The sequence below is a fragment of the Homo sapiens genome, chromosome 16 (assembly GCF_000001405.40).
Source record: "Homo sapiens chromosome 16, GRCh38.p14 Primary Assembly".
NCBI lineage: Eukaryota > Metazoa > Chordata > Mammalia > Primates > Hominidae > Homo > Homo sapiens.
This window is the reverse complement of record NC_000016.10, coordinates 81,116,004-81,131,154: the sequence shown is the minus strand read 5'-3', so window position 1 is coordinate 81,131,154 and position 15,151 is coordinate 81,116,004. Positions and strand designations below refer to the sequence as shown.

Sequence of the window (15,151 nt, the reverse complement as noted above, 5' to 3'; positions counted from 1 at the left end):
CCTCCCAGGTTCAAGCGATTCTTCTGCCTCAGCCTCCTGAGTAGCTGGGATTACAGGCATGCGCCACAATGCCCGGCTCATTTTTGTATTTTTAGTAGAAACAGGGTTTCACCATGTTGGCCAGGCTGGTCTTGAACTCCTGGCGTCAAGTGATCCAAAGTGCTGGGATTACAGGCATAAGCCACCACTCCCGGCCAGTACTTTCTAATATTAACTGATCCCCTCATCACAGAATTGTTATTCCCATTTCATAGATGGGGAGAGTGAGGCATGGAAGGATAGACTCACTTGTGAAGGGCGCCTGGATGAGATGTCGCAGAGCTGGGATTTGGACCCAGGCAGGAGATCCCATGGTCTGTGACTTTACTCCTCTCCGCTGCCTCTATAAAGATTGGTTCCATTGTCACCACAGTGGCGAGGGGCTGGTCTAGGAGGCCTTTCCATTTCCTGACTTGGACTGGGTGGGAGTCGTGGATCCTGCCTGAGCAGGGACTGTGCCTCCCTCCCCAGCATACTTGGGCTTCCTGTGGATGCTACTGCTCGTGGCCTACGGGCAGAGGGACCCCAGCGCCTACCACCTCAACAGACACCTCCAGCACAGCTTCACCAGGGGCTTTTCAGGTGTGCTCGGCTTCCGAGAGTTCTTCAAGTGGGCCAACACCACCCTCGTGAGTAACCTGTATGGTCACCCCCCAGGTAAGTCCTGAAGCCCTGGGGCTGTGTCAGCCTCCTTGTGCCTTCTGGCTAGGAACAGACGTGGGGCACTGTCAGCATCAGCCTCATAAGAAAACCAGGCCAAGTGTGGTGGCTTACACCTGTAATCCTAGTACTTTGGGAGGCTGAGGCGGGAGGATTGCTTGAGGCCAGGAATTCGAGACCAGCCTGGCAACATGGCAAGACCCTGCCTCTTTGAAAAATACAAAAATTAGCTGGATGTGATGCCTCATGCCTATAGTCCCTGCAACTCTGGAGGCTGAGGTGGGAGGATTGCTTAAGCCCGGGAGGCAGAACCTGCAGTGAGCCAAAATTGCACCACTGCACTCCAGCCTGGGAGACAGAGCAAGACTCTGTCTTAAAAAAAAAAAAAAAAAAAAAGAGGCCAGGTGCAGTGGCTTACGCCTATAATCCCAGCACTTTGGGAGGCCGAGGCGGGCGGATCACTTGAGGTCAGGAGTTTGAGGCCAGCCTGGCCAACCTGGTGAAACCCCGTCTCTACTAAAACTACAAAAATTAGCTAGGTGTGTTGTCACGTGCCTGTAAACACAGCTACTTGGGAGGCTGGGGCAGGAGAATTGCTTGAACCTGGGAGGCAGAGGTTACAGTGAGCTAAGATCACGCCATTGCACTCCAGCCTGGGTGAAGAAGTGAGACTCCATGAAAGAAAGAGAGAGAGAGAGAGAGGAAGGAAGGGAGGGAGGGAGGGAGGGAGGGAGGGAAAAGAAAAGAAAACCAGTAAAACCCCAGGCGTGGTGGCTTGCGGCTGTAATCCCAGCACTTTGGGAGGCCAAGACAGGTGGATCACGTGAGGTCAGGAGTTTGAGACCAGCCTGGCCAACGTGAAATCCCATCTCTACTAAAAATACAAAATTAGCTGGGTGTGTTTGCACGTGCCTGTAGTCCCAGCTACTCAGGAGGCTGAGGCAGGAGAATCGCTTGAACCTGAGAAGCGGAGATTGTAGTGAGTCGAGATTGCGCCCTTGCACTCCAGCCTGGGTGACAAGAGTGAAACTGTCAAGAAAGAGAGAGAGAGAGAGAGAAGGAAGGAAGGAAGGAGGGAAGGAGGGAAGGAGGGAGGGAAGGGAAGGAAGGAAGGGAAGGAAGGGAGGAAGGAAGGGAGGAAAGGAAGGAAGGAAGGAAGGAAAGAAAGAGAGAGGAAGGAAGGAGGGAAGGAAGGAGGGAAGGAAGGAAGAGAGAAAACCAATCAATAACCACAGGACCAGATGCTATGAAGGAGGGACTCAGAAGGCTGGGTGTGCACAAGGGGGGACTCTCCACCTTCCCTTCCCCCGATGCAGAGTGGAGAACCTCCTAAGTGAGTGATAACAGAGCTTGAACCAGCTAGGCAAAAACAGTGCACCAGGCAGAATGAACAACACGAGAAAAGCCCAGCCTCTTGCCATGGGATGCGTGTTCTTGGAACCACAGCGTGTTGGGTGTGACTCTCGTGTAGGATGTGAGTTAAGGATCAGTGAGAAGCAAAGCAGGAAAGATGAACGGGCCAGATCATGAAGGATCTCAGGAGCGTGTATCTCATCCTTGAGGAAATGAGGCGCCACTGAATTTCTACATGAGGCTATGGCATAAATCTGTGGTGTAGAAGGATCACTCTGGAAGCATGTGGAAGTTGGAGTAAAGGGTGGGCAAGTTGGCCGGGCGCCGTGGCTCACACCTGTAATTCCAGCACTTTGGGAGGCCGAGGTGAGTGGATCACCCAAGGTCAGGAGTCCGAGACCAGCCTGGCCAACATGGAGAAACCCCATCTCTAATAAAAATACAAAAAATTAGCTGGGCATGGTGGCATGCGCCTGTAATCCCAGCTACTCGGGAGGCGGAGGCAGGACAGTTGCTTGAATCAGGAGGCAAAGGTTGCAGTGAGACAAGATCACGCCATTGCACTCTAGCCTGGGCAACAAGAGCAAAACTCTGTCTCAAAAAAAAAAAAAAGAGGTGGAGGAGGTGGCAAGTTAGGATGCTGAGGACACAGGATGAGGGCTGGTGCAGGGAGGGACCAGGGACAGTGGTGATGGAGAGAACGGGATGGGCACATAAGACATGAAAAAAGTAGGATGGATAGGATGTGGTGACCAGTGGGATGGAGGATTGAGGAGAAAGGGCACAGGCACATCCAGATGGATGACGGGGTGGCAGGTTCCATTCCCTAAGAGAAGTTGTGCGGAAGCACAGTAGATTCCAGCAGGAGAGATGGTGAGGTTATTTGGATAAATGTAGCCTATAGTTGGTGATAAACTTCTCTGGGCTGTCTCTATAATGGGTACGCTGAATTTCACATTAGCCTCAGGCCGGGGAGCTTGGAATGTGTTAAGATTATTTTGATTGCTAGATTTACCCACCTTGTTTTTCTTTTTAGGCTTTATCACTGATGGGAACTCCAAGCTGGTTGGCAGTGCCCAGATTCGTCAAGTGAGGGTCCAGGAAAGCTCTTGCCCTCTTGCCCAGCAGCCGCAGGCATATCTCAACGGATGCCGTGCACCATATTCCCTGGATGCTGAAGACATGGCAGACTATGGGGAAGGCTGGAATGCCACCACCCTCAGTAATGGCAGTACCAGAGCCAGGACCAACGTCAAGGGTATCCCATCTGGGGCAAACTCACTGTGTACCGGGGAGGAGGCTACGTGGTCCCCTTGGGGACTGATCGCCAAAGCACGTCAAGGTAAGGTTGACTTGATTCATTTGTAGCTGAGTAAAGTCTTTTGCTAGAGTCCACATCTGCTTGGGGAATGTAGTCTTCCAAACAGGGCTGAGCCAAGTTCATTCAGGTCCTTGTGGGAGGGCTTGTAGGATACAGAATCATGCAGGTTGTATTTTCAGGTCCCTGGGAACTAAGCCATCTCAGAATTGGAAGGAAAGTCTCTCTCTAGCATTCACAGCCTGGTTGCTTCTGCTAGAGCCAGGCCAGAGATGGGGAGCTCACTACCACTCAAAGCAGTCCACCCTTAGGCAAGAGGGAATTAGTTAAGGATCTGTCAAGAATTATGCAAAATTTGAGGTTTTACCCTACTTGTAAGCCAACAAGCTAGCCTGTTAACTGTTTCACGGATGCTGGCAGAATACGCAATATTCCTGGGTCAGAGACAAAGGATTTTGTTACAGCAAAAGTCATAGCAGAACATTACACTGGTCTGAGTCAGTTGCCCACAAAGGGCCGTGAAAGATGCCTGCATGTGCCTGCAATACAGAGCCTGGGGGCATTTGATGCTTTTACAGCAGCAGAAAGAAGCCTACTCTTTGTCCAAAGGAAGGCATCACCTCATCCCACAAGGTTGCACACTGCAAATACAGCCCTAAGAAGTGACTTGGCTAAAGCACAGCCACGGCCTTGCATTCCTAGAATACCCAGTAAGAACGTGCAGGGATGCTCAGGGTCCGTGAAGACTGACTCAACATGCCCTTGAGACAAGAGACCTAGATTTGAAACCCTGGCGCTGCTCCTTTTAGCTGTGTAGCCCAAGCAAATCAGCAGACCCGCGTGAACCTCAGTTTCCTCCATTGTATGATCATTGCACCAAGGTGGTTTATGATGGTGTAGCCTGTACTCTGTCTACAAACAGGGTCTCCTGGGGTTAAGGAAAGGCCAGGAATAGTCGATTTCGGAATAAGAGGCATTTTTCCTGCTAATTGGACTGACTGCAGATATTCTCTCTCTGGTGGCTGGGTGCAGTGATCATGCCTGTAATCTCAGCTCTCTGAGAGGCCAAGGCAGAAGGAGCACCTGAGGTCAGGAGTTCGAGACCAGTATGGCCAACATGGAGAAACCCCATCTCTACTAAAAATACAAAAAATTAGTGGTGGGTGCCTGTAATCCCAGCTACTCAGGAGGCTGAGGCAGGAGAATCGCTTGAATACGGGAGGCAGAGGTTGCAGTGAACCAAGGTTGCGCCATTGCACTCCAGCCTGGGCAACAAGAGCGAAACTCTGTCTCAAAAAAAAAAAAAAAACATATTCTCTCTCTATCTGCTGCTATGTACCAAGCAGGATGCAGACCCACTGGGGACACAGCATATTACAGGCCCATCATTATTACTGGAAGTAATAACAACTATCATTACTACACACACACAACACACACACGCACATGCACACACATCCCTCCATGTTCTCTAAATGATCTGAAGGCACTGGTGTTAACACCGTTGTAGAGCCGGGCACAGTGGCTCACACCTATAATTCCAGCACTTTGGGAGGCTGACACAGGGGGATTGCTTGAGCCCAGGAATTTGAGACCAGCCTGGACAACATACTGAGATTCTGCCTCTAAAAAAGATAACAAATTACCTGGGCATGGGGGTACGCACCTGTGGTCCCAGCAACTTGGGAGGCTGAGGTGGGAGGATCACATGAGCCTGGGAGGTGGAGGCTGCAGTGAGGGATGATTGCCATTGCACCCCATTCTGAGCAACAGAGCAATACCCTGTCTCATAAACACAAAAAACCAACAAAAAACCACACCATGGCAGATGAGGAAACCAAGGCCTGGAGAAGTTATTAGCTTGTCCAGGAGGCAGCCAAGATTTGAACCCAGGTCCCTCCACCACCTTCAGGGCATGTGCTCTTTCCACCACACCAGGCTGACAGATCTCCAGGAGCTCATGGGAGCTGCTTGCCTAAGCCCCTGATGTTTTATATGATTCTTATTTATTTATTTATTTATTTATTTATTTTTGAGACAGAGTCTTGCTCTTGTTGCCCAGGCTGGAGTGCAATGGCGTGATCTCAGCTCACTGCCACCTCTGCTTCTGGGCTCAAGTGATTCTCCCGCCTCAACCTCCTGAGTAGCTGGAATTACAGGTGCACGCCACCACACCCAGCTAATTTTTGTATTTTTAGTAGAGGTGGAGTTTCACCATGTTGGCCAGGCTGGTCTTGAACTCCTGACCTCAGGTGATCCGTCCACCTCAGCATGCCAAAGTGCTGGGATTACAAGCGTGAGCCATCAGCCCAGCCTCCTTTTCTTCTTTTTCTTTATTTCTTTTTTTTTTTTTTTCGGAGACAGAGTCTTGCTCTGTTGCCCGGGCTGGAGTGCTTTGATGTGATCTCAGCTCACTGCAACCTCCACCTCCCAGGTTCAAGCAATTCTCCTGCCCCAGCCTCCTGAGTAGCTGAGAATACAGGCGTGTGCCACCACGCCTGGCTAAAGTTTTTGTATTTTTAGTAGAGGCAGTGTTTCACCATGTTAGCCAGGTTGATCTCAAACTCCTGACCTCAGGTGATCTGCCTGCCTCAGCCTCCCAAAGTGATGAGATTACAGGTGTGAGCCACCATGCCTGGCCCTTTTTTCTTCTTTTGAGACAGTCTCACACCGTCACCCAGGCTGGAGTGCAGTGGCATGATCTTGACTCATGGCAACCTCTGCCTCCTGGGTTCAAATGATTCTCCTGTCTCAGCCTCAAGCAATTTTCATGCCTCAGCCTCCTGAGTAGCTGGGATTACAGGCATACACCACTGCAGCTAATTTTTTCTTTTTTATTTTTTTTTTGAGACAGAGTCTCGCTCTGTCACCCAGGTTGAGGTGCAGTGGCGTGATCTCGGCTCACTGTAACCTCTGCCACCCTGGTTCAAACAATTCCCATCTCAGCCTCCTGAGAAGCTGGGATTACAGGCATGCGCCACCACGCCCAGCGAATTTTTGTATTTTTAATAGAGACGGAATTTCACCATGTTGTTCAGGCTGGTCTCGATGTCCTGACCTCAGATAATCCACCCACCTCAGCCTCCCAAAGTGCTGAGATTACAGGCGTGAGCCACCGCACCCGGTCACACCTGGCTAATTTTTGTATTTTTGTATTTTTAGTGGAGACGGGGTTTCACCATGTTGGCCAGGCTGGTTTCAAACTCCTGACCTCAGGTGATCCACCTGCCTCAGCCTCCCAAACTGCTGGGATTACAGATGTGAGCCACCGCACCCGGACTATGATTCTTCTAACACCATGGCTCTCAAACCGTAAAAAGCATCCAAGGCTGGGCGTGGTGGCTCACGCCTGTAATCCCAGCACTTTGGGAGGCCGAGGCGGGCGGATCACGAAGTCAGGAGATCGAGACTATCCTGGCTAACACGGTGAAACCCCGCCTCTACTAAAAATACAAAAAATTAGCCGGGTGCCGTGGCAGGCACCTGTAGTCCCAGCTACTCGGTAGGCTGAGGCAGGAGAATGGCGTGAACCCAGGAGGCAGAGCTTACAGTGAGCCGAGATCGCACCACTGCACTCCAGTCTGGGCGACAGTTCAAGACTCCGTCTCAAAAAAAAAAAAAAAAAAATCCAAATCCTGGCGGGCTCATCAAAACACGCATTCTGGGCTCCCCTGAGAGTGTCTGACTCAGCAGGTCTAGGGCGGGCCTGAAAATCTGTATTTCCAACAAGTTCCCAGGTGATGCTGATGCTGCTGGTGTGGGCACTACACTTTGAGAATCTCTGCTCTGATGGCCAGGAGATGAGGGGTGCCACCATATCACAGCGTGGGCTACAAAATGTGACCACTCCCAGCAGCAGCTCTGTTGGCCTGGTGGCCCAGGGAGCAGAGCAGAAACAGAGGGAGAAGTTGAGACAGGAAGTACTGGCCTCAGTCAAGGGGCTGCCGGGACATGGAGCCCCTGCAGGATAGCAATGACCCAATGCCACTCTTTCCTGCAGAATTCTCCGCTATCTCTTTGACAACACCTGGCTGGACGCCCTGACCAGAGCTGTGTTTGTGGAGTCCACTGTCTACAACGCCAACGTCAACCTGTTCTGCATTGTCACGCTGACGCTAGAGACCAGCGCTCTGGGTGGGCAGCCTCGCCTGGGAACCCTCTGCAGGGCTCCAGAAGACATATACTCCTTCCCCTGGGCTGGGGCTCCTGACCTACCTAGGTGCAGCCACCCCAGGGCCAGAGCTCCAGAGCAAATACTTATTTAGTGAATCTAGGTGTGGATCTTGGTTATCCTTGCAGCCATGAGTCCCTGGGCCCCCAAAGGCAAAGCATTAGGGCCCTCCACCCTAATTCTTCCCATCTTTCTGGCCTAGTCGCCCAAGTTATCGTAAAACAGCCTATTCAGAGTCCAAAGGCAGCTTATCCATTGCCTAATCCCGAGCTTCCCTGTCTGCTGGGGTTGGGGGTGGTGACCTGGCAGTGACGGCGAGGGAGAATGTGATGTAACAGATCATATCACCTAATATATATTTCACCATACATCAGTGCACAGCACAAAGTACGTTTTACAACATAATCCAGCACACATGCAACCAAGATGAAATGTTCACAAATAACATGTACTTTAACTCCATGAGGCCGGGCTCGCCCCCATGATCCCAGCACTTTGGGAGGTCAAGGTGGGAGGACTCCTTGAGCCCAGGAGTCCAAGACCAGCCTGGGCATCATGGTGAGACCTGGTCTCTATAAAATTTAAAAAACAAAAAACTACATGTGATGGGCTCTCATATTTTGTGTTCTATTCTATTTATTCTTCCTCATGCCTCCTTCCCCCTTTAAAATGCTGATCACAGTCTTCTAAAAACCAATCTATAGTCTATTCAGCTGATGGTCAATTTACCTAAAAGCCAACCTCCTCTCCAGTGAATACCAAACTTTTAGAAAATATTAGATTACGTTTTTAATGATAAAAGTAATATAGGCCGGGAATGGTGGCTCACACCTGTAATCCCAGCACTTTGGGAGGCCATTGGCCGGGTGGGGGGGGGTGCAAATCACCAGGTCAGGAGTTCAAGACTAGCCTGGCCAACATGGCGAAACCCCGTCTCTACTAAACATACAAAAATTAGCTGGGCGTGGTGGCGGGCACCTGTAATCCCAGATACTCAGGAGGCTGAGGCAGAAGAATCACTTGAACCCAGGAGGTGGAGGTTGCAGTAAGCCGAGATTGTGCCATTGCACTCCAGCCTGGGGAACAAGAGCAAGACTGCATCTCAAAAAAAAAAAAAAAAAAAAAGGAATATATGTTTGTGTTTTAAAAACAAAATTCAGAACTGTGAAAACTGAAGGGCTTTCAATTTCCATTGTCATTCCGCATTGCTAATAGTTTCTTCCAAATCCTTTTTGGGTTTACCTGTGTATCTTTTTTTATTTTTATTTTTTTTTTGAGACACAGTCCTTCTCTGTCACCCAGGCTGGAGTGCAATGGTGTGATCTCGGCTCACTGCAACCTCTGCCTCCTGGGTTCAAGCAATTCTCCTGCCTCAGCCTCCCGAGTAGCTGGGACTACAGGTGCCTGCCACCACACCTGGCTAACTTTTTGTATTTTTAGTAGAGACGGGGTTTTACCACGTTAGCCAGGATGAGCTCAATCTCCGGACCTTATGATCTGCCCACCTCAGCCTCTCAAAGTGCTGGGATTAGAGGCGTGAGCCCCTGGGCCCGGCCCAAAATGGCTTTAAATGAGCCAAGTGGGAGTCAATTGTCATTATATGGGTGGATGTGCTTTATCTGGAGGTGTCTGTGCCCAAAAGGCCAACATCAAATGCCGAGGGGAGGGGAGAACCTTCCACTGCAGCCCCTCCGCCCCTTCTGTTGCATCCGCTGTCTTCGGTGTCTACCACGTGTCCACGTTCAGTCCTTCGGGTCTGAAATAACTTTGGCTTTTCCTTGGCCACAGCCAGCCCTCAGGGGGTTGAGCTTGAGTCATCTGACCTGATGGCTCCTGTCAGAAGCCATGGCTCTGAGCAACCAGGTGGCCCAGAGTGAGCAGAACGCACTTTGCTCCCCAGGCACCTTTTTTACGCACGCGGCCCTGCAGAGCCTCCGCCTGTACCCCTTCACCGACGGCTGGCACCCCTTCGTGGTAGCGGCAGAGCTCATCTACTTCCTCTTCCTCCTCTACTACATGGTGGTGCAGGTAAGGGGCATGCTCATAGCTCATGAGCAGGGTTTGGGGTGCAGGGGTGCCTGGTGCCTCACCAACACCTCTCCTCTTCCTTGTAAGTGGGATGGGAAAGGGATTTTTTCCTTTTTTTTTTTGAGATGGAGTCTCTGTCACCAGGCTGGAATACAGTGGTGCAATCTCGGCTCACTGCAGCCCCCACCTCCTGGGTTCAAATGATTCTCCTGCCTCAGCATCTTGAGTAGCTGGGACTACAGGCATGCACCACCAAGCCCTGCTAATTTTTGTGTTTTTAGTAGAGATGGGGTTTCACCATGTTGGCCAGGATGGTCTCAAACTCCTGACCTCGTGAACCGCCTGCCTCAGCCTCCCAAAGTGCTGGGATTACAGGCGTGAGCCACCGCACCCGGCCGGGAAAGGGCTTTGCCTTAGGTGTTTGCTGGGAGCAACCTTTGGTCCTTCCATTGGTCCTAGGGCTGATCTAGGCTGCTAGATCAGGGCATGGGAAGGACCCAAGGTTGGTACTCCTCAGGAATTGAGAACTCAAAGTGGGGTCTTTCATGGGTGGGGAAGGGAGAGGAGCATGGGTCCTGTTTCTACTGAACTGAGACCTTCCAAAGAGCCAGGGTAGGGCGATGGTACGGGGAAGTGACCCTACAGCTGGGTGTGGAAGTCCTCTGAACTTAGATTGTGGGGCCTCTTAGCATCTTTTGTTCCCACCCACGGTCACTGGGAGTTAGGCAACATCCCCTTTGCCACCTTTATTGCCATGTTGCATCCAAACGTGCAGATGTTGATGACGCTAAAGGCTGGACGATCATGGGAACACACCGGAAGCTACTCCCCTCCTCCTGACAAAAATGCAAACCAGATTGCCGAAAGGGGGCATCTTGGCCCTCCATCGTCTTCTCCAACACCCTGTTTAAAGCAAGGATGATATTTTTGAGTGCTTACTGCATAGCAGGCATTGTGCTAAGAACGTATGTGTTTTCTCTTTCAACAACAGGAGAAAGGTCCTATGGGCTCTAATTCAGAGTAGGAAACTAAAGTCCAGAGACTTTAAGTCATTTATCCAAGGTCAGAATTTGAACACAGGGAGTCTGACCCCTGACCGTCACACTCGACCCCTATCCACAGCATCAGCCTCATGAAGCAGCGCACTCGCCTGGTCTTGAGCATCACCAGTTCAAGCCCAATGGCCAACAGTCATCAGACAGCAACTTCAATCCATGCACCTGTCCAAGAACCTCACAGCAGATCTGTTCACCACCCGCCTCCACGGTTCACTGCCCTCCTCCAACTGCCTCCACAGTCTGCCTGCAGCTGCTTCAGAAAGCTGCTCTCCAAAACCTACAAATCTCTCGCAAAATGCTGCTTGGGCAGTTTTAAAAATCTCCCCACTCTCCATCCCTTTGTTGTAAAAGTGAACTTAGCCTGCCACCAGCCAAATGGAAGTCCTTCCTTCTTAAGAGTGGGTAGGAGGGGCACAGTGGCTCAAGCCTATAATCCCAGCATTTTGGGAGGCCAGGACGGGCAGATCACTTGAGGTCAGGAGTTGGAGACCAGCCTGGCCAACATTGCAAAACCTCATCTCTACTAAAAATACAAAAATTAGCCGGGCATGGTGGCAGGCGCCTGTAGTCCCACCTACTTGGGAGACTGATGCAATAGAATCACTTGAACCTGGGAGGCAGAGGTTGCAGTGAGCTGAGATCCTGCCACAGCACTCCAGCCTGGATGACAGAGCAAGACTCTGTCTCCAAAAAAAAAAAAAAAAAAAAAATTGCTGGGCGCGGTGGCTCACGCCTGTAATCCCAGCACTTTGGGAGGCCAAGGCAGGTGGATCATGAGATCAGGAGTTCAAGACTAGCCTGGCCAACATGGTGAAAACCCATCTCTACTAAAAATATAAAATTAGCCGGGTGTGGTGGCGCATGCCTGTAATTACAGCTACTCGGGAGGCTGAGGCAGGAGAATCGCTTGAACTGGAGGCAGAGGTTGCAGTGAGCTGAGATTGCGCCACTGCACTCCAGGACTAGGCAACAAGAGCGAAACTCTGTCCCTGGCAAAAAAAAGAAAGAAAAGGAAGGAAGGAAGGAAAGGAAGGAAAGGAAAGAAAGGAAGAAAGAAGAGGAAAAAAGAAGGGGCAGGAGGGGAAACTGGTACAAAAATAGAAGATTCTCTTGAGTGAAAGGGAAAAGATGGGGAGGAAGATGAAGAACACACGCAGGATCGTTCTTTTGAACTTGTGACACCTGTTGGGGAAGTTTACTTAAAACTAAGTCTCGTGCCTATCCAGAAAACCTCTCCACAAGGGCAGAAAAGAAAGAAAACTACCTAACTATCTATTTGTCTGTCTATGTAGAGAGAGGGTCTGGCTCTGTTGCCCTGGCTGGAGTGCAGTAGTGCAGTCCCAGATTACTGCAGCCTCAACCTCCCCAGGGTCAAGTGATCCTCCTACCTCAGCCTCCCGAGTAGCTGAGACTATAGGCATGTGTCACCACATCCAGCTAATTTTTGTACTTTTTGTAGAGATGAGGCTTTGTCTTTTTCTTTCTTTTTTTTTTTTTTTTGAGACGGAGTCTTGCTCTGTTGCCCAGGCTGGAGTACAGTGGTGACTTCTCTGCTCACTGCATCCTCCGCCTCCTGGGTTTAAGAGATTTGCAGCTTATTTTTATATTTGTAGTACAGACAGGGTTTTCACCATGTTGGCCAGGCTGGTCTCGAGCTCCTGACCTCAAGTGATTTGTCTGCCTTGGTCTCCCAAAGTACTGAGATTACAGGCGTCAGCCACCATGCCCAGCCCGTTTTCGTGATTTTGCCCAGGCTGTTCTCTAACTCCTGGGCTCAAGTGATTGTCACGCCTCAGCCTCCCAAAGTGTTGTAGAGGTATGAGTCACCACGCTCAGCAATTTTTAAAATTATTTATTTATTTTATTGTTGTTTTTTTTTTTTTTTAGACAGATTCTTTCTCTGTCACCAAGTTGGAGTGCAATGGCACGATGTCGGCTCACTTTAACCTCCGCCTCCAGGGTTCAAGCGATTCTCCTGCCTCAGCCTCCTGAGTAGCTGGGACTGCAGGCACCTGCCACCACGCCCGGCTAATTTTTGTATTTTTAATAGAGACAGGGTTTCGCCGTGTTGGCCAGGATGGTCTGGATCTCCTGACCTTGTGATCTGCCAGCCACAGCCTCCCAAAGTGCTGGGATTACAGGCGTGAGCCACCGTGCCCAGCCTAAATTATTTATTTTTAATTGTGGGAAATATACGTAACATAAAATTTACCATTTTAACCACTTTTAAGTGTTTAGTGGCATTAGGTCCACTCATATCATTGTGCAAGTGCCACTACCGTCCATCTCCAGAAGGATGAACTCTTTCCATGTTGCAAACTACAGCCAGCTGGGTTCGGTGGCTCACACTTGTAATCCCAGCACTTTGGGAAGCAGAGGCGGGCAGATCACCTGAGGTCAGGAGTTTGAGACTAGCCTGGCCAACAAAATGAAACCCCTTCTCTACTAAAAATACAAAAATTAGCTGGGTGTGGTGGCACACGTCTGTAATCCCAGCTACTCAGGGGGCTGAAGCAGAAGAATTGCTTGAACCCGGGAGGCAGAGGTTGCATTGAGCTGAGATGGGGCCCGCTGCACTCCAGCCTGAGCAACAGAGGGAGACTCCATCTCAAAAAAAAAAAAAAAAAAGAATTTCCTGGGGTTTAAATACCTTCTAGAGGTTTCCATTGGTTAATCGGTGTATGTCCTATGTAAATGAAGAGGTTAAAGTGAAGTTACAAAGTCATTTACTCGGGGTACACCCTATGTGAATGAAGAGGATATTTCCTGTCATAGCTGAAGTGTTTCCATTTGATTTAGTTCTTAGGTTCCCTGCCTCCAGGCCCTATTATCCCGCCTCAATGGGTCTGTGCACAAGGTTGGGGAGAGGCCTGGGCACTCTGTGCATGGGGGCCAGAGCTGGGGAAGCCTCCTGCCAGAGGGCCCTCCGGGATGGGGAGGGAGCAGCCCTGTGGGGCGGGGGCAGTCACGGCCGCAACTTCACGCTCCTTTTCCAGGGCAAGCGCATGAGTAAAGAGACGTGGGGCTATTTCTGCAGCAAGTGGAACCTTCTGGAGCTGGCCATCATCCTGGCCAGCTGGAGCGCCCTGGCGGTGTTTGTGAAGAGGGCTGTCCTGGCCGAAAGGGACCTCCAGCGCTGCCGGAACCACAGGGAGGAGTCAGTGGCTGTCTCCTCAGCCCCCCAGCTCCCCACACTGGCCCCTCTTCCTACAGCTCCGTTTGAGGCCCAGGGGTCAGAAGGAGGTTTTGGAATGCTGTGGACCCTCAAGGGATAAAGGGGCACTCCTAGTAGACATAACTCTAGCTGCCACCTAGATTCAGGTGTGGGGCCAGCCGCAAGTGAGTACGATTGGAGAGGACTCAGACAAAATAGAACATCTTGTGCAAATCTTCCCAAAACATAGGACCATGGGGCATCCTGCTTAGGCTCTCCAAAACCTTGCAAAGGGGAGGCCCTTTGCAAGTATTATGGCCCCAGTAAGCTCACCTCTGCTACCATACACTAAGTGTCCACTATGTGGTAGGCAGGATGTTTTCACCTAGGGAATCATCATCAGGATTGATGAAGGTCAGTGTTATCATCGCCCCATTTAACAAAGACATTGAGGGCAGGGTGTGGTGGCTCATGCCTGTAATCTCAGCACTTCAGGAGGCCGAGGTGGGCAGATCACTTGAGGTTAGGAGATTGAAACCAGCCTGGCCAACACAGTGAAACCCTAACTCTACTAAAAATGGAAAAATTGCTGGACACGGTGGCTCACGCCTGTAATCCCAACACTTTGGGAGGCCAAGGCGGGTGGATCATTTGAGGTCAGGAGTTCGAGACCAGCCTGGCCAATATGGTGAAACCCCATCCCTACTAAAAATACAAAAATTAGCTGGGCGTGATGGCATGCACCTGCAGTCCCAGCTACTCAGGAGGCGGGAGAATCGCTAGAACCCGGGAAGCAAAAGTTGCAGTGAGCCGAGATTGCGCCACTGCCCTCCAGCCTGGGTGACAGAGGGAGACTGGGTCTCAAAAAAACAGACAAAGACACTGAGGCTCAGAGAGGTCACGTGACTTCCCCAAGGCCACACAGCTAAAATGTGGCAGACAAGTAATTTAAGCCTAGCTTGTGTGGCTCCAGGGTCCCCTCCCTTGCTTGGAATCATCGGGTTTCTTGACTCACTCATTCGTTTTATAGATATAGCTAACATGTATTGAGTTATTGCTAAATGTCATACACTTTCATAAAAACACCACATTACAAGCAGTGTCTCATCTCACCTACACCTGAATCCTCCTGAGACCTCTAAGAGATGATATCACCATCCCTTTTTTTGTTTTGTTTTTTGAGACGGACTCTTGCATGATCTCAGCTCACTGCAACCTCTCCCTCCTGGGTTCAAGTCATCCTCCTGCCTCAGCCTCCCCAGTAGCTGGGATTACAAGTACACACCACCACACCCGGTTAATTTTTGTATTTTTAATAGAGACGGGGTTTCACCATGTTGGCCAGGCTGATCTCAAACTCCTGACTTCAT

The 15,151-nt window shown here is 50.5% G+C and overlaps 1 pseudogene across 1 annotated transcript in view, besides 1 other annotated feature; it reads left to right on the top strand.

Moving 5' to 3' along the window:
• The window catches only part of PKD1L2 (polycystin 1 like 2 (gene/pseudogene)), a 119,520-nt pseudogene that overhangs the window by 89,240 nt on the left and 15,129 nt on the right, over positions 1–15,151 (top strand). Inside the window, exons 35-39 of the transcript NR_126532.3 lie at positions 511–696; positions 3,089–3,394; positions 7,371–7,504; positions 9,442–9,569; positions 13,624–13,784. The product of NR_126532.3 is annotated as a polycystin 1 like 2 (gene/pseudogene), transcript variant 1, non-coding (transcript). The remainder of the gene's footprint in view (positions 1–510; positions 697–3,088; positions 3,395–7,370; positions 7,505–9,441; positions 9,570–13,623; positions 13,785–15,151) is intronic.
• Positions 13,728–14,286: an enhancer, noted in NCBI's record as "H3K27ac-H3K4me1 hESC enhancer chr16:81150474-81151032 (GRCh37/hg19 assembly coordinates)". NCBI's record gives its function as "activates a minimal SCP1, AML or CMV promoter by ChIP-STARR-seq in primed H9 embryonic stem cells {active_cell/tissue: H9 hESC(primed)}" and the evidence as "EXISTENCE:reporter gene assay evidence [ECO:0000049][PMID:30033119]".